This window comes from Homo sapiens, chromosome 17 (genome assembly GCF_000001405.40).
Source record: "Homo sapiens chromosome 17, GRCh38.p14 Primary Assembly".
In the NCBI taxonomy this organism is placed as follows: domain Eukaryota; kingdom Metazoa; phylum Chordata; class Mammalia; order Primates; family Hominidae; genus Homo; species Homo sapiens.
The window spans coordinates 82,382,224-82,404,158 of NC_000017.11; the positions used below are offsets into that span (position 1 = coordinate 82,382,224).

General features: G+C 57.4%; 1 protein-coding gene and 2 long non-coding RNA genes across 8 annotated transcripts in view, besides 3 other annotated features; 2 read left to right on the forward strand and 1 right to left on the reverse strand.

The window, feature by feature from the left end:
• Positions 1-2,600: 2,600 nt before the first annotated feature.
• On the forward strand, positions 2,601-5,456 carry LOC124904092 (uncharacterized). The gene is made up of 3 exons (XR_007065959.1): positions 2,601-2,727; positions 3,471-3,550; positions 5,223-5,456. It is a non-coding gene; the product is annotated as an uncharacterized LOC124904092 (long non-coding RNA).
• Positions 3,102-3,787: an enhancer, noted in NCBI's record as "H3K27ac-H3K4me1 hESC enhancer chr17:80343201-80343886 (GRCh37/hg19 assembly coordinates)". NCBI's record gives its function as "activates a minimal SCP1, AML or CMV promoter by ChIP-STARR-seq in naive H9 embryonic stem cells {active_cell/tissue: H9 hESC(naive)}" and the evidence as "EXISTENCE:reporter gene assay evidence [ECO:0000049][PMID:30033119]".
• A 1,530-nt stretch (positions 5,457-6,986) lies between the features above and the next one.
• Positions 6,987-21,935, reverse strand: part of OGFOD3 (2-oxoglutarate and iron dependent oxygenase domain containing 3) — a 29,377-nt gene continuing 14,428 nt past the window's right edge. For 2 of the 5 annotated variants that reach the window (NR_033265.2, NM_175902.5), the window contains exons 7-10: positions 21,714-21,867; positions 15,973-16,096; positions 12,108-12,320; positions 6,987-10,311 (exon numbers count right to left, since the gene is read on the reverse strand). Coding sequence is in view for 3 of the 5 variants with exons in the window: in NM_175902.5 (NP_787098.3) it covers positions 12,148-12,320; positions 15,973-16,096; positions 21,714-21,867 (451 nt within the window). In the remaining 2 variants the exon portion in view is untranslated. The remainder of the gene's footprint in view (positions 10,312-12,107; positions 12,321-15,972; positions 16,097-21,713; positions 21,868-21,935) is intronic. The other 3 variants (XR_007065458.1, XM_047436759.1, NM_024648.3) reach the window with 3 other exon arrangements.
• On the forward strand, positions 14,658-17,250 carry LOC124904090 (uncharacterized). Of its 2 annotated transcripts, XR_007065956.1 has the most exons (3): positions 14,658-15,066; positions 15,365-15,538; positions 15,798-17,250. It is a non-coding gene; the product is annotated as an uncharacterized LOC124904090 (long non-coding RNA). The 2 variants fall into 2 exon arrangements; XR_007065955.1 differs by having other exon boundaries at positions 15,365-17,250.
• Positions 17,175-17,781: an enhancer, noted in NCBI's record as "H3K4me1 hESC enhancer chr17:80357274-80357880 (GRCh37/hg19 assembly coordinates)". NCBI's record gives its function as "activates a minimal SCP1, AML or CMV promoter by ChIP-STARR-seq in primed H9 embryonic stem cells {active_cell/tissue: H9 hESC(primed)}" and the evidence as "EXISTENCE:reporter gene assay evidence [ECO:0000049][PMID:30033119]".
• Positions 18,512-18,711: an enhancer, noted in NCBI's record as "active region_13007". NCBI's record gives its function as "activates an Ori minimal core promoter by ATAC-STARR-seq in GM12878 lymphoblastoid cells {active_cell/tissue: GM12878}" and the evidence as "EXISTENCE:reporter gene assay evidence [ECO:0000049][PMID:35858748]".

The window sequence follows — 21,935 nt, forward strand, 5'->3', positions numbered from 1 at the left end:
TTTTTTTTTGTTTTTTGTTTTTTTACTTTTTATACTTTTGAGTCTTTTCCAGATTTCTCCCAAAAGGTATACACAGCTTTAAAATCAGGATTGTTACTAAATTTTTTTAAGATGGGGTCTTGCTCTGTTGCCCAGGCTGGAGTGCAGTGGTGTGATCTCGGCTCACTGCAGCCTCCGCCTCCCAGGTTCAGGTGATCCTCCCACCTCAGCCTCCTGAGCAGCTGGGATTACAGGCACGCGCCACCACACCTGGCTAATTTTTGTATTTTTTGTAGAGACGGGGGTCTCCCTATGTTGCCCAGGCTGGTCTCAAACTCCTGGGCTCAAGTGATCCGCCCACCTCAGCCTCCCAAAGTGCTGGGATTCCAGGCGTGAGCCACCACGCCTGGTCTATTAAGAAGTTTGAATGTCTGAAGCCTTCATGGTTGCCTCAAACGTAGTCACGCCTGGGGTCGGTGAGTGCTGTGCGTCTCCTGCACACGGGGCTGTCGGGCGCCTGCCTTGGAGGAGGAGGAGGACATGGCATGCGAGAGGCCTGCAGCTGGGGAGGTCAGAGCTGGGCCCAGGCCTGCGTGTTCATCTACGCGTTGCCCCCCGTCCCCTGGGCCACCCCTGGAGGCCCTTCTCCTCCTCTCCCCTCCTCCCCTCCCACCCCAGGCCCTGCCCTTCCCTGGCACCCAACTCCCTTACTCAGACCTCATCCGGCCCCACCCTGACCCAGGTGTGGGGGTCCCGGGGCTCCAAGCCACCAGGCTGTGTGGACAGCCCCTCTTCTCAGCAGTCACCGTGGCCACCCCAGCTGTGTCCAGGGCTGGAGTCAGAGCCTGCTCAGGTAGGAGGGACACGGTGCCAGGGGCCGGTCGGGGGCGGCGACAATGGAGTGCATGGCACAACCCACTAGAGGGGTCGAGTGCCCCGCTGGGGATTTCAGCAAAAGTCCTTTCTGCCCTGAAAGCAAGAGTAAGACCCCGGCTCTAACAGGTCCTAGTTGACGTTGTCCATGGCTGGCTGCCCCCAGCACCACAGCTCTGCTGTGCCCACGGCCCCGACCACTGCCAGGCTCCCCTGGACCCTCCCTGCCATGTCCCTCCACCCCCCACAATGCCCCCCAGACCCTCCCCACAATCCCCGCAATGCCCCCCACCCCCCGCAATGCCCCCGGACCCTCCCCACAATGCCACTCACTTCCCCACAAGGCCCCCCACCCCCGCTGCAAGGCACCCTGAACCCCCCCCCACGAGGCGCATCCCTGCTGCAGGCCGTTGGCAGGTGTTGCTGGTTCCAGCATTCCTTACAAATGGGAGCCTGCAGCCTGCGGTCCTGCATGTCCGGACTCCAGTAGTTTGCAGCACAGCTGCCTCCCTTCTGCTGCCGGGGCCTGGCCGAGGGATCGCTGCCGCTGCTAAGGGGTGGCTGTCTGGGTCCAGCGCTGGGTGGGCAGTCGCTAAAGAAGTTGCTGTGAATGCTGCTGCCTCAGCCTCTGCTTTCGTTTGCCCTGGGTAGAACCCAGGGGCGGAATCACTGGGCAGGTGGAAGCTGTCTCGCTGTCTCCCTGTTCCCCAAAGCAGCTTCAGCCGTGCCGCGGACACTCACCGGCAAGGGACGAGCCCTCCTGTTTCCCCCCTGCAAGCACCTGGAATTTACTGGATATTAGGTGCACTTGGGAAAGGAATTTCTTTTCATAAAAGGCGACTGAAAATCCCTTTGTGAGACACTGACTGTGCTGGATCAGAGATTTTGTAAATTTGGGTTTGGCCTATGGGGTAAATGGTAGGGCCTGTGCTGGAGAGGCCTTTGCTGTGTGGGGTGTGCAGCTCCCCTGGAAGGCCCTGGGCAGTGGAGCAGCCTGGATGGGGCCCCCCCTGCATCAGGATAGGGGCTCGGTTCCAGCACTATCATATCCCCCCACCATGCCCACCCCTGCTACCCTCCACCCACACCCCCAGCTGCTTCAGCCCAGAGCAAAAATGGTGAGGGAGAAGGTGTCCTGGGCGGGCCTTGGTCCCGAGAACAAGGCAGCAGGTGGCCCATGCCTGGGGGGCAAAGGATCGCATGAATGAACTGTGTCCCCGGCTGGGGGGTGGATGTCTGGTGGCAGGTGCCTGGCGGCGGGTGATTGGTTTGCCAGGCGCCCTCACAGACTGCCCCACGTCTGGCCTGTCTCCAGGCGGCTCTGGCGTGGCTGGGGTTTGGTTTCTGATCGTTGCTCCCCGACCAGAGCTGCTGCAGGGCAGTGGGAGTGGACGCCACGTTCCCCAAACTGGCCTCAAGTTCAAAGGGGCTTTTTCAGACACCCCCAGGTCCCACCTTCCCGCCTTCCCAATAGAGCGTGGAGGACATGGTCTTCTGGGGTCCACGGCGGGGAGGGTGGGGTGCACCGGCGCGTGGATGCAGGGGTCTCAAGGCCCCAAGCCACACTTCACATGAGTTATTCCTCAACAAAGAAGCACCTGCCATTTAGAGCTGCTGAACTCCCAGGCATTCCAGGAACAGTGTGCTTCAGGAAGTGGGTTGCACCTCCAACCAGCAGGCTCCGCTGTTTACCTGCCCGGGCACGCTCCGCTGTGGGAGGCCATCCCCGTGGAATGGACCTCAAGGCGGCCCGCCGCTGCAGGTGGCAGCAGTGACTGCGCTTGTGGGGTGAGGCGGCCCTGGCCGGGGAGGATGGCTGGAGCTGCTTGGCAAAGACTTGCGCTCTTCCTGCCCTGAACCTGCACAGCATCACAGGTGCGCTCCTGGCCACCTGGAGGGTCAGCCCCGGGAGGTGGCGTGGTGCACGGGCCCCTTTCTGCCCCTAGGAAAGCACTTGGTGCAACCCATGCTGTCTGGCACCTTCCCTCATCACTCACAAGGGCAGGTTTTTCCATCTGAATTCCAGACAGATGACAGTCCCAGCTGGAAGCGAGGCTGCCAAGGCCAACGGCCAGGCTGTTCCAGACTCCGGCTTTTCCCAGGCCAAGTGCCCAGCCCCATGCAGGGGTCAGGGGAGGCCAGTTCTCCTGGGACTGACCCAGGGCCCAGAGGCGTCGCGTGCCCCAAGCCACCGGGACAGGTGCACAGGCTGGCACTGGCCCAAGGCTGGGTAGTTCTGGTCTGTCACTTTTGCCCACCTGCAGCCAAGGAGACCCAGGCTGGGAGGGCCTGGGGGGTGAGTGAGGTCACAGCAGGACACAGCCCCAACGGTCAGCAGCCTGGAGACTCCGGTCCAAGCCCCAGCCCCCTCTGCCCTCCCCGCATGGGGCCCCTGCAGACCCCACTGCCAGCTAGGCCTGGGATCTTCCTGTCACCTCCAGCCAGCCCAACGGGACCTCCTGGCAAGCCCCCCCCCCCACCCCCGCTTCCCTGAAGCCCACAGCAACCCACAGGCCGAGCGGCCTGGGCTGTTGGGTATTTCATGGCCCCGACGGGAGCCCCTTTGGCAGAGCCCACCACTGGGCTGCTCTCCAACCGAGTGCTCTCCTGTTTCACAGCTAAGGGACCTCGGCTCGAAGGACCACCCAGGCTGTGCCTGGGGCCCAGTGCTGGAAATCCCGGGAGTGGACACATGCAGGTGCCTGGGACTGACGGGTCCTCACAGGGCGTTGGGCCGGGCTCCGTCCGTCCAGGTGGCCTCCGGCACCCCACAGCGCGATTAAAAACACAGAGCTGTGTCTCACCCCAGAACTAGGAGTTGGCGGGAAACTGGAGCCGCTGCCCCCCTGCCCTTCAGCCAAATCTGGCCACCCTGAGCCAAAATTCCTCCCGGGGGCTGGGAGTCAGGCCGGGGCTGGGCCTGGGGCCTGACGGGGAGGGGCTGTCTCTGTCCCAGGCTCTCCTCCCCATCCTCCCTCCGTCTTCCCCTGGCCTCCAGTGATGGGGAGGGGCTGTCTCTGTCCCAGGCTCTCCTCCCCCATCCTGCCTCCGCCTTCCCCGGCCTCCAGTGATGGGGAGGGGCTGTCTCTGTCCCAGGCTCTCCTCTCTGTCCTCCCTCCGCCTTCCCCTGGCCTCTAGTGATGGGGAGTGGCTGTCTCTGTCCCAGGCTCTCCTCTCTGTCCTCCCTCCGTCTTCCCCTGGCCTCCAGTGATGGGGAGGGGCTGTCTCTGTCCCAGGCTCTCCTCCCCGTCCTCCCTCCGCCTTCCCCTGGCCTGTAGTGATGGGGAGTGGCTGTCTCTGTCCCAGGCTCTCCTCTCTGTCCTCCCTCCGCCTTCCCCTGGCCTCTAGTGATGGGGAGTGGCTGTCTCTGTCCTCCCTCCGCCTTCCCCTGGCCTCTAGTGATGGGGAAGGGCTGTCTCTGTCCCAGGCTCTCCTCCCCATCCTCCCTCCGCCTTCCCCTGGGCAGCTGGGGGCCAGAAGCCTTCTCCCTGGGACGCTAAGAGGCAGTCCCGGGGGGTGTGGGTTCAGGGGTGGAGGGAGGGGCCCAAGGAGAGGCAGGAGCCAGCGTACCCACCTCACCATGGGCAGGACTCCAGGGCCAGTGGGCGAGAGCACGGGAAGGGGGCTGGGCGGACAGCGAGGTAGGGATGCCAGCAAGTTCTGACCCGGGCTGAGGGGTCTGGGCTCCCCTCTGAGGACTGCATCCTCCAGAGCCCTGAACACGGCGCGGCCACCCAGGGAGGGCCCAGAGCAGGGAGGCGGCCACACACGCCAGCCGAAATGAAGATGCAGGGCAGGACTGGCTAGCAGGAGGGCCTGGGTGCGGGGTCCCAGGGCCGAGGGGCACGTGGGGACAGTGAGCCTGGCCTGGCCTCACAAGGGGCTACGGGGGAAGGAAAGCCCAGGTAGGGTCTGTCAGGGGCCCGAGCACCCACCCTGGTCTCCAGCCACAGACCCTCCCCGGAGCACCCGCCCTGGTCTCCAGCCACAGACCCTCCCCTGCCCTCTAGGCAGGGCATGCTGGCAGGCGGGGTGGGGCCAGCCCCCAAGGGTGAGCCGCCGGAGGTTCTGCTGGGAGCCTGGGGTCTGTGAGGGAGCGGCTGCTGCCTGGCATTGCCCTAAGCCGGCCAGGACCTGATCCCCACCCTACGCTGGGGCTGGGAGCAGACAGGAAGGACAGAGACACACGGAGAAGGGGCCCAGACCACGCAGAAAGAAGGTGTGTCTCGGCAGGGTGTGGCCGGCTCCCGGGACGCTAGACAGGAGCCACGGGGCCCCTTCCTGGGGAGGAAGGTGCAGCCATGCAAAGTGAGTCCAGGGGACGGCGAGGGGCCTGACCCGCTCTTCTCCCGAAACTCGGATATTTCCAGTATGTGTCCGGCGTCCCCAGAACGACACGGAGATGGACTGGCTTGCGGGGGACCCCACGTCCTCTTCCCCAACACGAGGAGCCTCGGGATCCATTTTCACTGCTGCAGGCACAGGGGCCTCCTCAGCTCCTCCTCGTCTGCTGTTCCTGTTTCGTCCTCTTCCTGCCTCGTGCTTCGTTGATGTTCTGCAAATTATTTAGATGTGTAAATGAAATAAATGGAAAATAACTCTCATTGCTCCCAGCTGGCCTAGCTCCGTCCCTCACCCACCTGCCTTGGGGGCCAGGAGGCTCTAAGATGTGAGGACGCTGGACAGAGATCAGACAGAGGCTAGACAGAAACAGCAGCCAGAGGGGTACAGAGGGCAGGAAAGAGACTGGACAGAGATGGACAGAGACAAGACAGAGGGGACAGAAGGGGACAGAAATTGGACAGAGATGGACAGAGGGGACAGAGGGGGAAAAAGATGGACAGAGACAAGACAGGGGAGAGGGGGACAGAGACTGGACAGAGACAAGACGGGACAGAGGGGGACAGAGATGGACAGAGACTGGACAGAAACAAGACAGAGGGGATGGGGTACAGAGACAAGACAGGGGACAGAGGAGGACAGAGACAAGACAGAGGGGACAGAGACTGGACAGAAACGGAGAGGAACAGAAAATGCATGGGCCGGCCAGGTGAGGGGCAATGCTTGGGCACCCCCAAATCACAGGGCGAGGACCGGTACTGGGCAGTGCCACGGTGTGACAGAGTGACGTGCAGTCAGGGACAGCGTCCAGTGTGGACGGAGCCTTCCTGATGCCTGAGCCACCCCTGAGCTCACGGGGCCACCCTCTGGCCGCGGGTCCTCCAGCTCCCCAGCCCAGAGCTGTCCAGCAGCAAGCGCTGACCTGGGAGACGTGCCAGGTGGCGAGTGGGCGTGGCACACACCGCTGGTGTCTCAGGCCCTTGGCTCCCATCTCGGTGATAAGCACAGCAGGGCTGGGCAGAGCCGGGCCAGGGTCCCCATCAAGAGAGAAGGTGGAGGGAGCAGAGGCCACCACGCTGCACACCAGGGCTGTGACCATGGTGGGGTGAGAGGTGGCTGCCACGTGGGTTCCTGGCAGTGACCCACACACCACACAGAGTCAGCTCCAGGCTGGCCATGGTGACGAGTCTTCCGGGATGGGACCAATGATGGGAGGGTCACGCCCGTTTCCCTTCCTTTGAAAACGAGTCTCCCATACATAAAAATGGACGGCTTTCCTTGCTCACCCTGTGGCCTCACAGGCCCCGACCACACACCCACACGGCACTAAGGCCCTCCCGGCCTCGGCCCTGCAGAAAGCCGGAGACCTCCGGGAACCCTCCCCGGAACCCCTCCCCGGAACCCTCCCCGGAACCCCTCCCCGGAGCCCCTCCCCGGAGCCCTCCCCGGAACCCTCCCCAGAACCCCTCCCCGGAACCCCCCCACCCACTTCACCGTCGTGGCCTCTGCTTTCGTGGCTTCCTCCCCTTCGTTCGTGAGAACTCGGGACATGTACACGGAGCTTTCCACACAACTCAAGAAACCCAGCCTTGGGGCTCTGTACTCCCCAGGCTGACATACGGCGACCTCGTGTTTCGGCTTTGCTTTCGCAATGCACGGCTGTGCGCTCGGGCCTGGCTCTGGTGGCTGCCGCGTGTTGGAGACTCTGTCCACGCAGGTAGCAGGGACAGGGCCACCGCCAGGTCAGGAGCACGGACGGAAGCAGGAAACATCTCCCTTCCCGACAGCAGGACTCGCCCTCCTAGATTCTTTATTTTGAAAGGAATAATCATCTTTGACTTTAATGAAACACTTTTACTTAAAAATAGATCACTCATCAGAGGACACACCTGAGACTCCAGTTCCTCCCTGGAACCTTCTAGCGGAACCAATCACCCCTCGTGGCTCCTGGAACAGCCTCACGTCGGCCACACCCGACACTTTCATCAGGTTCACGAGCACTTCTTGGGCAAAGCCCAGGGTGTGAGGATTCACTGCTGTGCCCACGTATTTTCCCACCTTTTTATTTTTTTAAAATGCCCAGGCTTCAATGATAAATTTTTTTTTGAGACAGTATCTTGCTGTCTCCCAGGCTGGAATGCAGTGGAGCCGTCACAGCTCACTGTAGCCTCGACCTCCTGGGCTCAAGCAGTCGTCCTGCCTCAGCTCCGAGTAGCTGGGACCACAGGAGCACACTGCCACGCCCAGCTACATTTTTTAAAAGTTTCTTGTACAGACAGCGTCTCACTATGTTGCACAGATGGGTCTCCAACTCCTGGGCTCAAGTGATCTTCCTACCTTGGCCTCCCAAAGTGCTGGGATTACCAGCATGAGCCATATGTTCCCACTTCAGAAGGAAATTCTTCATTCTGGCTAACACGGTGAAATCCCATCTCTACTAAAAATACAAAAAAAATTAGCCGGGCATGGTGGCGGGCGCCTGTAGTCCCAGCTACTCGGGAGGTTGAGGCAGGAGAATGGTGGGAACCCAGGAGGTGGACCTTGCAGTGAGCCGAGATTGCGCCACTGCACTCCAGCCTGGGCGACAGAGTTAGACTCCGTCTCAAAAAAAAAAAGAAGGAAATTCTTGCTTTTGCCCAAATATATTTCTTTGTCCAAGTATCTCTGTGATTATCATGAATAGTGTAAGTAGCCAAGAATGAAAATCAAACTAATAATTTACTTATTTCAAAAGCACTTTAACCCATAACAAACCCAACACCCACTTTCTTCAAATGCATTTATCCTTTAGACGTGGCGAGAAGCCGGCGACATCATCATTTACTCCAAGGTGACAGGATCAGGTTTCCATGCAGCATTTTCCACCTGCCCCGACCATGACCACAGCCACGGACCCTCTGGAAAGTCAAGACTGGGAGAAGCTCAAGGGCGGCCCAGGCTCAGGCGACTTCCCACCCACGATGGGGCCCACCAGCCCGACCCGGAGAGTGTCCGTGAAGCAGCCGGCCCCGCAAGGACGGCTTTGGCCACCAACCGGAGGTGGGCCTCATCCTCCCAGATCCATGGAGTCCTTCAGAATCGTGCCTCGCTCCAGTGTCCCACATCAGAGGCCATGGGAGGGCGCGGGAGCCTCAGGGTTCCTGCCCCATCTGCCCAGAGCCTGCAGCCCTGACCAAGGAGGGTTCCCCATACACGGGCAGAAGCTGTGGACCCAGGGAGCCTATCCCACGCCGTCCTCCGCATGTGGCCCGTGGTGCAGGAGGGGCCCTGGGCAAACCAAGGTGCGGCCCCCAAGTCCCCCGTACCCAGGGGTCACCATGCCTCAGCTGGCCTCACGCCCGCTCCTTCCCAGGGGTCACCATGCCTCAGCTGGCCTCACGCCCGCTCCTTCCCAGGGGTCACCATGCCTCAGCTGGCCTCACGCCCGCTCCTTCCCAGGGGTCACCATGCCTCAGCTGGCCTCACGCCCGCTCCTTCCCAGGGGTCACCATGCCTCAGCTGGCCTCACGCCCGCTCCTTCCCAGGACCCAATAATGCTGCCCTTTATCAACCCCCAGAGCAGCTCCCGGGCCACAGGTGGGGCCTCCTCCAGTCAGAGGCACCTGTGCCAGGGGCTAGGGAACATGGATCTATGCCAGACAGGCTAAGGGAGGAGGGACCGAGGCAGGAGGGGCTGAGGGAGGAGGTGCTGAGGGAGGAGGGGCCCAGGGCTCTCCCCAGGCAGCTGGGTCAGGGCATCCAGGAGAGCCCAGCTTCCAACACCACTCAGGGTGGGCGGCCGTCCCCCTCCCGGGAAGGTGCCCAAAGCCCTGGACAGTCACCTCGAGGTGACTGTGGGCAGAAACTGGGCTTGGCCTGCCCTCCCTGCCAGCCACCCCACCCAGGCCTCTCCACAACTGGTCTATTCGGGGCTCCTCTGACCACCACTTTATTTTTATATTTTTAAGATGGAGTCTCACTCTGTCACCCAGGCTGGAGTGTAGTGGCACGATCTCGGCTCACTGCAACTTCTGCCCCCTGGGTTCAAGCGATTCTCCTGCCTCAGCCTCCCCAGTAGCTGGGATTAATTTGTTTTTGTGTTTTTAGTAGAGACAGGGTTTCGCCATGTTGGCCAGGCTGGTCTTGAACTCCTGACCTCAAGTGATCCTCCTGCCTCGGCCTCCCGCAGTGCTGAGATTACAGGTGTGAGCCACCGCGCCCAGCCTGACCATCAGTTTAATGCCAGGGCAAAGGGGGAGGAGGAGACCTACCCTCGACCCAGCAGAAGGCCCATGGGAGCCGGCACAGCGACGCCAAGAGCCTCCTTGGTGAGGACACTCGGACCCTGGCCCTTGGGATGCTGGCCGCTGACAGGGCCAAGCCTGGTGTGGTGGGGCCGTGGCCCACGGTGATTTGTGGGCCAGCAGCATTGGGGGTGCACGCAGGGCTGTGGGAACGGCAGATGTTCACCTCCACCTGAATCCAGCAGAACTCCCACCCACCCCAAAGGACCCCGTTGCTGCCTCCAGAGCCGCCACTCACGGACCCTTCTCCAAAGCTGCTGCGGTTTGCTGATGCCGAGACCCCGAACAGAAGCTGCTGGCCCCACGTTTGTCCCCATTTATGGCTGATGCTTTAGCCAGTCTTTGATGGGCCGGGGGGTTGCTGAACCTGGACGAGTCCCGGGGGGTTGCTGAACCTGGGTGGATGAGTCCCGTCCATTCACAGATGGGGACTTGTGCCCCGTCCTGCTGGGTCCCTTTCCTGGCCTCCACCTCAGGCTCCCAGGCCTACAGCCCAAGCACACATGATGCTGGAGAAGTGAAAAGCTGGTTCCCTTCATTTACTCACAGATGAAAAGATTAACACGTCAGCAAATCAAAATCAGAGAATTCCTAAGGCACTCTGTGCAACAGGAGCGGGTGGACGTGGGGGTGGGTGCACGACTGGCGCGGCTGCCTCCACACGGGCCCTCCTGAAGTTACCTTGGCCCGGCTGCTGGCTACGGGAACGCTGGGTCCTCGATGCCATGGTCGGGGTTGCAGCTGAAGGCGATGGTGATGGCGTAACGGGTGCCCCAGTGGACCTTCTCCACGCGGTGTAGGTTCTCGGACCCCGAGGTGAAGAAGGAGACGCGACCTGGGAGAGGAGAAGAGAGAGAGGTGGCCATAGAGCCACACCCACGGCCACAGCCTTCAGAGGGTCTGCGGTCACCTGAAAGAGCAACTATAACCAATCAACACAACCAACCAGGCAGGCTGGAGAAATTGCCCCTCTGGGAACTGCTTCTGCAGGAAGGAGGAGCTGGAGAAACAAACGCAGCAATGCTCAGGGGCCCTGTGGCGGAGGAGGGGCCCCCCGGGGCCAGCAGGGACTCTGTGGTGGGCAGGACAGAGGAAGATGCTGCAGATGAGGCCACCACTGGCTCCAGACACCCCAGGTCATCTGATCTCCCGAGCTCCGGGCATTTGATCTCCTCAGCTCTCATGGGCCTTCCAGATCTGACACTTTAGGATCTTATTTCTAATCACAGGTTGAGAACAAAAACCAAGCCCTGGGGGTGTTCTAACAAAGAATCAGGAAAGACAAGATAAAACATCCAACTCGCAAACACCTCTCTGTCTCCCTTCAAGGGGTGATAGAGATGACGTCTGAACAGGCAGCTTCCACGGCAGTAACCAGGGCCCGGGGCCTGAGAGGTCCTGGAGGCAGGGGCCTATCTCAAGAGACGCCAGTTCATTTGTCTTCACATTGAAGTGGCGCTGCCTACCCCACCGTAGAGTCCTGTGGTAAAGCGTTCACCGCTGGACACAGCCATCGACCGTCACCAAGTGGGAAGCAAGGGGCGTTGAGACTCAGAGGACACCGGGCTCCCCCACGTGGCTCCTGACGTCCTGTGACAATTTCATTCCCCTTCAAAGGTTACCACTGGAAATGCAATTCCTTCCTTTCACATTTGCAAACTTCACTCGATCTTTGAAAGGGGAGAGAAGTCCATCCCGGGTGTGCAGGGCATTCTAGCTTCAAGAGGGAGTCAGTTGCACTGTGCCTGGAAATAGTGGAGCAAAAGAAATCACGTGGATGCAATGGTCACCTCTTAATGGAGGCCGGGAAGCGCCCTGGGATGCAGGCAAGGCAGCCGATCTTTCCCGGACCGTGTGGGCCACCTCCAGATATGCAGGACACGTCCTTTTCCAGGTCGGCTGGAGTCAGGGCACCTTCTAACCTTACACTTTTAAAGGACACATTGTCCTTGGTTTCTTCCAGCTTCAATCGAGGCTGAGACATCGGCACAAGCAGGAGGGCCCAGCGGCTCGCGCCATTTGGGACCTCAGTCGCCCATGCTCGTCCACACTCTCTGCTCTCTACTGCTGGCAGACGTGGTTCTCAGGAGGCTGCCAGCATTCAGTAAAAGGAGGGTCTCCTCTGGCCCTCTGGTGTTTCTGCACATCTTGCAAACAGAGGCACCAAAGGACAGGGGGAAGGATGGAGGACAGCTGAGCCTCGTGAGCTGTGGGAGGCAGGAAACCACCCACCATCCACACTACTGAAGGCTCAGACGGAGATGAGATCAATACGGGGCCAGAAAAGGACTTTTTTTTTTTTTTTTTTTTTAGACAGTCTCGCTCTGTTGCCCAGGCTGGACTGCAGCGGCATGATCTTGGCTCACTGCAAGCTCTGCCTCCTGGGTTCACGCCGTTCTCCTGCCTCAGCCTCCCTAGTAGCTGGGACTACAGGCGCCCGCCACCACGCCCAGCTAATTTTTTTGTACTTTTAGTAGAGATGTAGTTTCACCGTGTTAGCCAGGATGGTCTCGATCTCCTGACCTCATGACCCGCCCGTCTTGGCCTCCCAAAGTGCTGGGATTACAGGCGTGAGCCACCACGCCCGGCCTAAGATGCACTTTCTTTAGTAAATGACTATTAGATTATCACCTGCTTCCTTAAAGCAGGACTCAGCACGGCAACCAAGGAATCAACAATAAGCAATGCTCTCAGCTTCCAGAATCGCATGTGTCTCTCCCCTCTCGGGCGGGTGGTGAGTCCCCGGAGGACACCTGACTCCAGCCTTCGCACCAGCAGCTTCACTGGCTCTCGGTCCATTAACTTCTTGGAACCCACAAGACATCATCCGGAAACAAAAACATCCTGGGGACACAGGACAGGGATTGTGTGGTAAAGGGTTGACTCCAGGGGCCTGGGCGGTGCACACCCTACACCCTCCAGAGAGAGGCCTGGCCTTTGCCCCGGCTCCCAGGGGGGACCTCTGAGCCCTCAGAACATCCTGCCTGATAGGAGAACCTCTGTTTACCAGGGACCTAGGGCCACACCAGATGGTCCACACTGACAGTGTCACTTATGGTGGGACGTGGGCCACAGAGCAGCAGCTCAGCATCCAGAGGGGCTGGGGACAGAGGCCAGCCGTGCCTGCACCACCAGCCCCCCAGTAAAAACCCTGGACACCAAGGCTCGGCCGAGCATCCCTGGTCAGTGACACCCCCGAATATCATCACACATCACTGCTGGAGAACTAAGAGCTGTTGACCCAACTCCGGGAGAAGACAGTGGGAAGCTCACACCTGGTCACTCCTCAACCTGCCCCACGGCCTCTCCCCTTGCTGGATTGTTTTTTGTTTTTGTTTTTGTTTAGACAGGGTTTGGTTCTGTTTCTCAGGCTGGAATGCAGTATGCAATGGTAGGATCTTGGCTCACTGCAACCTCCTCCTCCCAGGCTCAAGCAATCCTCCCATCTCAGCCTCCTGAGTAGCTGGGACTATAGGTGCACGCCACCACACCCGGCTGCTTTTTGTATTTTTTGTAGAGACGGGGTTTTGCCATTTTGGCCAGGCTGGTCTTGAACTCCCGAGCTCAAACGATCTGCCTGCCTCGGCCTTGCAAGTGCTGGGATTACAGGTGTGAGCCGCCCCACCTGGCCCCCTTGGTGGATTTTAATCCATTTCTTTTCACTGTAATAAACTACAGCCAAGGGTATAATGGCTTTGCTGAGTTCTGTGAGTCCCAACAGTGAGTCACTGGACCTAAAGGTGGTCTTGGGAACCCCCGAACACAGGACTCTGCCTTCCTCGATAAAGTTGCCCTACAAAGAAAACTAGCATTTGCCACTCATGGTAAGAACTGCGACACGGCCGGGCGTGGTGGCTCACGCCTGTCATCCCAGCACTTTGGGAGGCCGAGGCGGGTGGATCACGAGGTCAGGAGATTGAGACCATTCTGGCTAACACGGTGAAACCCCGTCTCTACTAAAAATACAAACAATTAGCCGGGCGTGGTGGTAGGCACCTGTAGTCCCAGCTACTCGGGAGGCTGAGGCAGGAGAATGGCGTGAATCCGGGAGGCGGAGCTTGCAGTGAGCCGAGATCGCACCACTGCACTCCAGCCTGGGCGACAGAGCGAGACTCCGTCTCAAAAGAAAAAAAAAAGTCTCCAAATCACAGGTAAACACATAGATACACACAATTAGACAGATGTACAACATCAAATCACAGGTAAACACATAGATACAATTAGATGTATGACATCAATCACGTAAACACACAGATACACACAATTAGACAGATGTATGACATCAAATCACAGGTAAACACATAGATACACACAATTAGATGTATGACATCAAATCACAGGTAAACACATAGATAACACACAGATGTACAACATCACAGGTAAACACAGATACACACAATTAGATGTATGACATCAAATCACAGGGAAACACATAGATACAATTAGACAGATGTACGACATCAAATCGCAGGTAAACACATAGATACACACAATTAGACAGATGTACGACATCAAATCGCAGGTAAACACATAGATACACACAATTAGACAGATGTATGACATCAAATCGCAGGTAAACACATAGATACACACAATTAGACAGATGTACGACATCAAATCACAGGTAAACACATAGATACACACAATTAGATGTACGACATCAAATCACAGGTAAACACACAGATACACACAATCAGACAGATGTACGACATCAAATCACAGGGAAACACACAGATACACACAATTAGATGTATGACATCAAATCACAGGTAAACACATAGATACAATTAGACATGTATGACATCAAATCACAGGTAAACACATAGATACAATTAGACAGACACATGCAGGAGACAGGTTGTTTTAATTATCTGAAAGAAGATCGTAATACAAAATGTTTGACTCAAGTATTTATCATGCTTAAAATGACTAAGATCAAAATATGCTAAAAAGTTGTGTAATTTCGAGTCCCAGGAGGCTTCAGCTGCTTGACTTCTCAAGAAAACGCCTGTCTTGTGCTCTGTGAGTTTTTCATTTTCCCACAAAACTGCTGTGACTGGGACTTCTGGGGTGAGGGCAGACAGGCTGGGCTCCTGCTTGCAGAGGCTGGACGTCCAAACCCTTCCCCTAATGCAGAGATGACTCAGAACAACTGACATGAAGGCAGAGTGAGGCCAGGACACAGTCAGGCCAAACGCCCCCAATCCACGCCAGGGGAGACTGTGCCCAGGGCTGCGGCACACACGGCCTGAAGCCGGCTGCAGGGAGTGGGCTTGGCCAGCCGCTGGCTACAGCGGGAACTGTCCAGCCTGTGGCCAGGGAGCAGCTGAGGGAGGCAGGATGGCAGGAAGTGGCCGGGCAGCTCAGGCCACCTGCCACAGGTGGTCGTGGAAAGAGAGTCCCTCAAACTGAGCTTGCAAACTGAAGTCGTAAACTAACCTGAGAAAGGCAAGTACAAATAACAGGAATCTCAAAATAAACAAGCTGGAGATCTTAAAAGAGATGAAAGAAGTCCTGACTGTCACACAGTCCCTGGTCTGACTGAGCGGCCAGGCAGGAGGAACACCCGTGCTGAGAGGCCACCCCACAGGTGAGGGCAGTGCCCTGGGGACGGGTGAGGCAGCAGGGGGTGAGGGCAGTGTCCTGGGGACGGGTAAGGTAGTGGGGGGTGAGGGCAGTGCCCTGGGGACGGGTGAGGCAGCGGGGGGGGGGGGGTGAGGGCAGTGCCCTGGGGATGGGTGAGGCAGTGGGGGGTGGATGGTGCTGGCACAGTCCACAGGGCTCCCAAGCCTATGCGAGTTTCGGCTGCATCTGGGGTCAGGGCCGTGGGCTCCACCTGAGGAGGCCCCTAACAGGGGTTCCCCACTCCCCACACCCTCCCACCCCAGGATCTGGGCTTGTGTTACCCACAAGTTCAAGGAGCAGAGGATGACTGTCCGCTCGGCAAATGCTCACTGGCACTGCTGTGTCTGCAGCAGGCTGGGCATGGCTGGGGCTCTGGGACTCTGGGACTGCAAGGTCCAGTGTGATGGGTTCTGAAGCCGGCACCGCAGAGCCACCCGGTGAGGTTCCAGCCACCAGCGAGGAGGGCACTAGGTCACCGACACTGGGCTGGGGCCTCGTCTAATCTTAGGTTGCGAGTCTCTTTGAGAAGGGTACAGAGGTGAACGCACTCCAGAGGGGAGGGAGGGAGACCCTGACCGCCAAGGTGACACACACCAGGGAGGGAAATGGATGGTGCCTGTCAAGGTGACACACACCAGGGCGTGGAGGGGGGCTCTGCCGCTGACTGACGGTGACCTCAGACATGTGGCCCCGTAGACACCAGCCTCCTGGGTGTTGGGACTGGCGCTAGACCTGGGAATCACTCAGCACCGGCCCGGCACACAGCAGATGCTCCGTGAACTCAGCCTCGCTCCCAGGGACACGCCCCCCACACCCACCGTGCTTGCCTGAGCCAGGAGCCCCACGCCCAGGCCCCGCCCGCGCCTCCTACCAGCTCTCGGCTCCACCGTCTTGTTGGCACCCTCCTCCATGAACATGAACCGCCCTCCGCCGAAGTCCTCCAGGTAGTTGGAGAGGTACAGCAGCGAGGTGTAGTCGAAGGAGCCGTAGGTCACCTGAGGGCAGAGCCGGGAGGAGGGGGCAGAATGGGCTCTCAGCATGCGACCAGGGCAGGTGCTGCTTCTCTCTCTTATTTTTTGTTTATTTATTTTTTGAGACAGAGTCTTGCTCCATCACCCAGGCTGGAGTGCAGTGATGCGATCTCGGCTCACTGCAATCTCCGCCTCCCAGGTTCAAGCAATTCTCCTGCCTCAGCCTCCCGAGTAGCTGGGGCTACAGGCACCCACCACCACACCCAGCTAATTTTGTATTTTTAGTAGAGACAGGGTTTCACCTTGTTGGTCAGGTTGGTCTCAAACTCTTGATCTCAGGTGATCCACCCACCTTGGCCTCCCAAAGTGCTGGGATTACGGGCATGAGCCACTGAACCCAGCCTCTTTTTTTTTTTAATAGGGTATCGCTTTTTTTACAGACAGCATCACTCAGGCTGTAGTGCAGTCACAGCACTGTCATTGCTTACCATAACCTTGAACTCCTGGCTTTAAACAATCCTCCTGCCTCAGCATCCCGGGTAGCCAGGACCACAGGCGCACGACACTACAACCAGCTAATTTTTTCTTTTCTATTTTTTTTTTTGTAGAGATGGCATCAGTCCACCCACTTTGGCCTCCCGGGTGCTGGGATTAGAGGCATGAGCCACTGTGCCTGGCTGATTTTTGTATTTTTTGTAGAGGTTGGGGCGGGGTGGTGGGGGCAGGGGGGCGGGTCTCGCTATGATGCCCAGGCTGGTCTCAAACTCCTGGCCCCAAGTGATCCTCCCACCTCAGCCTCCCGGGTGCTGGGATTACGCGCGTGAGTCACCAACATCTGTGCTTCTTATTTTCCAGAAGGTAAATTAACAACATGTGTCGGCCCCATTAATGAGGCCATTTGTTCCTTTGCAACTTTAAAAACCCTCTGCAGAGTCTCCAGCCTCATGCATTGTTGCCCAGGATTTCCTGTAAGCTCAGATGTTGGAGCAGCCGTGTTCCAGCAAAGGCTACGGGCAGCAGGCCAGCCAGCAGGGTGTGCATGCTGGGATGGTCCCCCGGTGCCAGCCTCGCTGCCCACACGTGGGAACCAGAGGCAGCGGTGGACGCGCTTTTCTCCTTTCTTCAGAAGTGGAGCAATCCCAAGCTTTTTAAAACTTGTAATAAAATGCAGAACCTAAGATTTTCCAGCTTAACTGTGTCTTCACTGTTTTTAAGCACAGTTCAGTGATGTTAAGCACATTTCCAATGTTGTGCAGCCACCGCACCGTCCTCTCCAGAACATCTCATCCTCCCAGGCCGAAGCTCCGTCCCCAGGAAGCACTGACTCCCCACGCCCCCCAGTCCTGCCCTCTCCATTCCGCTTTCTGTCTCTGTGAACCTGGCGACTCTAGGGTCCCCACGGACGTGGGATCAGGCAGGATCTGTCCCTCCGTGACTGGCTTACTTCACTCAGGGGTCGCAGCACTCAGCTTCCATTCCAGAACCCAGCTGGGGCCACGCCCTGGGGGTGAAAGGTGCAGCTGCCAGGACACCAGCTGCAAAGGGGAGGGCGCATCTCACCCAGCTCAGCTGTCATAAGCACACCCAGACCAGGGAGGGAAAGAGACACTCTGGGGAGGGAAGGGGGATGGAGCCGCACCAGCGCGGAACTGGACACCCACTGTGCGGGCGCTGAGCTAGGTACATCACACACAACAGAGCCTCGTGTGCAGTGGAGAGAGCCCAGGCTTGAAGGCAGACACCGGGCCCTCCCCCTGGGCAAGGTGGCCTCCTCTGAGTCCTCCTGGGAAGGAGAGCAGGATCACGCTGGGGCCCAGCCCCCAGTCCGACCCGCCAATATCCACCTCACATAATCCGCTGTAAGGAAGCCCAGTCTCAGGTGGTGCCCTGGGCGGTGGGTCAAGCTCCCTCCCCCCTGCCCCTCCCAGCTGCCAGGAGGCCCCTTGGGCTCAGCTCCCATGGGCTTTGCCCCCTCCAGGCCTCACAGATGCCCCCCGGAGTCCCCCCTTAAAAGCTTCCCAAACACAAGTCCATGCCAGGCTCTGATTCTGGGGAGACCAGAGTAAGACAGACGTCAAGTGAGCAAAGCCGCGTGCGGACTGCACTGCCTTCTGTAAAAAGGAAACCATACCAGGGTCCATGATCTGACAGCCACAGCTGCCTTATGTTATGCAATGGGAAGAAGGAACAATTGCCAAAACTGTTTTAAATGTGATTCTTTACAACTGACAGAATGCGGTATTCTTATGCATTCGTTTTTATACACACAGAGAAATTCAAGAAGGAACTCTGAGATCTCAGGACTGTGGTTACCTGTAGGTGAGGGGGTTACTGGTTCGCCTTTATTTATATACATATATATATATATGACTTTTAAATCTTGTAGGATGCATTACTTATTCAAATATTCAAATTTTGATGCATGATTTATTCAAAACTAAATTTAAAATAAAGTACACTGGCCAGAAGTCATAGCAAAATAGCTCCCCACAGAACACCACGAAAATCACCCAGGTTTCTAAACAGTTCTGTTTCACTGAAGTAAAGTCTCTGCTAATTAGAAAAACACTGATCTTCAGACGCCACTTTGGTTTCCTGATGAGCAGACAAAATTCGGTCAGGGGCCATGGAAGGAGCCGGGAGCGACCGGACCAGGGCGAATCTGCTGTCTGTGCCGGCGGAAGGCCAGTAAGTGCCGTGCAGTCGTGAAAAAGGAAGTGGTTAAAGTGGTTACGGCAAAGCGGTGGCGCCGGCTGCTCCCGACACTGCAGCCCGAGAGGGAGAGAGGAGGACTGAAGGCAGTCCCAGGCCTTGGGTTCCTTCACTGTTCCTGTTCCCTTGGGTTTACCTTTTTTTTTTTTTTTTTTAGATGGAGTCTTGCTCTGTCACCCAGGCTGGAGTACAGTGGCGCGATCTCGGCTCACTGCAACCTCCACCTCCTGGGTTCATGCCATTCTCCTGCCTCAGCCTCCCGAGTAGCTGGGACTACAGGCGCCCGCCACCACGCCCGGCTAATTTTTTGTATTTTAGTAGAGACAGGGTTTCACTGTGTTAGCCAGGATGGTCTCGATCTCGTGACCTCGTGATCCACCCGCTTCAGCCTCCCAAAGTGCTGGGATTACAGGCGTGAGCCACCACACCCGGCCCTGGGTTTACCATTTTAATGCCAAGTAGCAGAGTGCCAAGATGGCAGATGCTGATTGCAGATTATAACTGCAATCTCTCTCTCCTTCTGATTACAACTGAAACTGCACAGAGTGCACTTTGGGAGGCAGAGGCAGGTGGATCACCTGAGGTCAGGAGTTCGAGACTAGCCTGGCTAACATGGTGAAACCCCGTCTCTACTAAAAATACAAAAATTAGCCGGCCGCAGTGGCACGCACCTGTAATCCCAGCTACTCAGGAGGCTGAGGCAGGAGAATGGCTTGAACCTGGGAGGCAGAGGTTGCAGTGAGCTGAGATCGCGCCACAGCACTCCAGCCTGGGTGGCAGAGCAAGACTCCATCTCAAAAAAAAAAAAAAAAAAAACAAAGACTGCCCTTGAAGAATAATTTAGTAACAAATGTCACACGGCACAGAAAGCTGGTCATCTAACTGCCATTCCTTCCTCTGTCACAGCGGGCATGGTGGGGCAGCAAGAGTCCTAATCTCCCCAGCCATGTGCTTTCTGGCTTTAATCTTCTATTTGAGCTTCAGCTCCAGGGCTCACAGTGCCATTCAACCACTTCCATCCAGGTTGACTGTATGAAGGGAACTCACAGCTTCTACACCATAAAAATCACCCTTAAAGAATTGCTATAATACCATTCTTTGTATTAGCCGTGCTTTACTTTTATCTTCTAAAATCTTTTATTAAGGGCCAGGTGCGGTGGCTCACACCTGTAATCCCAGCACTTTGGGAGGCCGAGGCAGGTGGATTGCTTGAGGTCAGGAGTTTGAGGCCTGCCTGGCCAACATGGTGAAACCCTGTCTCTAATAAAAATACAAAAATTAGCTGGGCGTGGTGGTGCATGCCTGTAGTCCCAGCTACTTGGGAGGCTGGGGCAGGAGAACCGCTTGAACCCAGGAGGCGGAGGTTGTAGTAAGCCAAGATCACACAACTGCACTCCAACCTGGGCAACAGAACAAGACTGTCTCAAAAAAAAAAAGAAAGAAAGAAAGAAAGAAAAGGCTGGGCATGGTAGCTCACGCTTGTAATCCCAGCACTTTGGGAGGCCAAGGTGGGCAGATCACCTGAGGTCAGGAGTTTAAGAGCAGCCTGACCAATACAATGAAACCCCATCTCTACTAAAAATACAAAAATTAGCCGAGCGTGGTGGCATGTGCCTGTAATCCCAGCTACTTGGGAGGCTGAGACAGGAGAATCACTTGAACCCAAGAGGTGGAGGTTGCAGTGAGCTGAAATCGCACCATTGCACTCCAGCCTGGGCATCAAGAGTGAAACTCCATCTTAAAAAAAAAAAAGAAAGAAAAGAAATGGGATGGGTAATGGCTCTCGCCTGTAATCCCAGCACCTTGGGAGGCTGAGGCGGGAGGATTGCTTCAGCCCAGGAGGTCAGGCCAGCCTGGGCAGCATAGTGAAACCCTGTGTCTACAAAAATAGAAAAACGAGCCAGGCGTCGGGGCACGCACCTGTGGTCCCAGCTATAGTCTCAGTCCCAGGCTGAGGCAGCAGGATGGCTTGAGCCTGGGAGGTCAAAGTTGCAGTAAGCCATGACTGCACACCTGCACTCCAGCCTGGGTGACAGAGTGAAGCTGTAACTCAAAAGAAATAAAAGAAAGAAAGATAGAAAGTGGTAAAAGAAGGCTCCCAGAGACAACACAGAGACCTGGGCCACAGAGAGCATGAGTGGCTGAGCAGAGACCATCTGCCGTAAGAGGTTAAGCATCAGTCTGTTAATAAATAACAATGGGGTAACCACAGGCCGTGTGGGCCGGGTTCTCCACTTCTTCTTGTCACCATCAAATGAGAAATTTTATTTCTCCAACTCCATCAGTGAGATTGAGGGTGTGCCCTGAAACCTCAGAGAGGAAGACATCTAAATGCTTACACCCACCGGGCATGGTGGCTCACACCTGTAATCCCAGCACTTTGGGGGGCCAAGGAAGGAGGATTGCCTGAGCTCAGGATTTTGAGACTATCCTGGCCAACATGGTGAAACCTCGTCTCTACTAAAAATACAAAAATTAGCGAGGCCTGGTGGGGCATGCCTGTAGTCCCAGCTACTCGGGAGGCTGAGGCAGGAGAATCGCCTGAACCCGGGAGGCAGAGGTTGCAGTGAGCCGAATCGCGCCACTGCACTCCATCCTGGGCGACAGAGCGAGACTCTGTCTCAACCAATCAATCCTAACACCATGCACACAGCAGGCGGATGCTGCAAAAGACAGCCCTGTGGTAGGTAGCCCCAGGCCACGGGAGAACAGGCCTCACCTTGACCACATGCGCGCTCACCCTGTCCACATGCGCGCTCACCCTGCCCACGTGCGTACTCACCCTGCCCACGTACGCACTCACCCTGCCCACGGGCACGCTCACCTTGTCCACGAGCGCGCTCACCCTGCCCACGTGCGCACTCACCGTGCCCACGGGCACGCTCACCTTGTCCACGGGCACGCTCACCCTGCCCACGGGCGCGCTCACCTTGTCCACGTGCGCATGCCAGTACTCGTCGTGCGCCGTCCGCGCTTCCGTGCTGTTTATGCGGGAGAAGAAGGTGGGCTTGGTCAGATGCAGCGAGGATGCGCTGATGCCAAAAGCCTCAGCAATGGTGAGCTGGACCTTCTGCCGCACCTCCCTGCAGAGGACACAATAGCCGTCAGCGCAGCCCCAGGCGGGAGGGGACGCTCGTGGGTCCCAACCCGT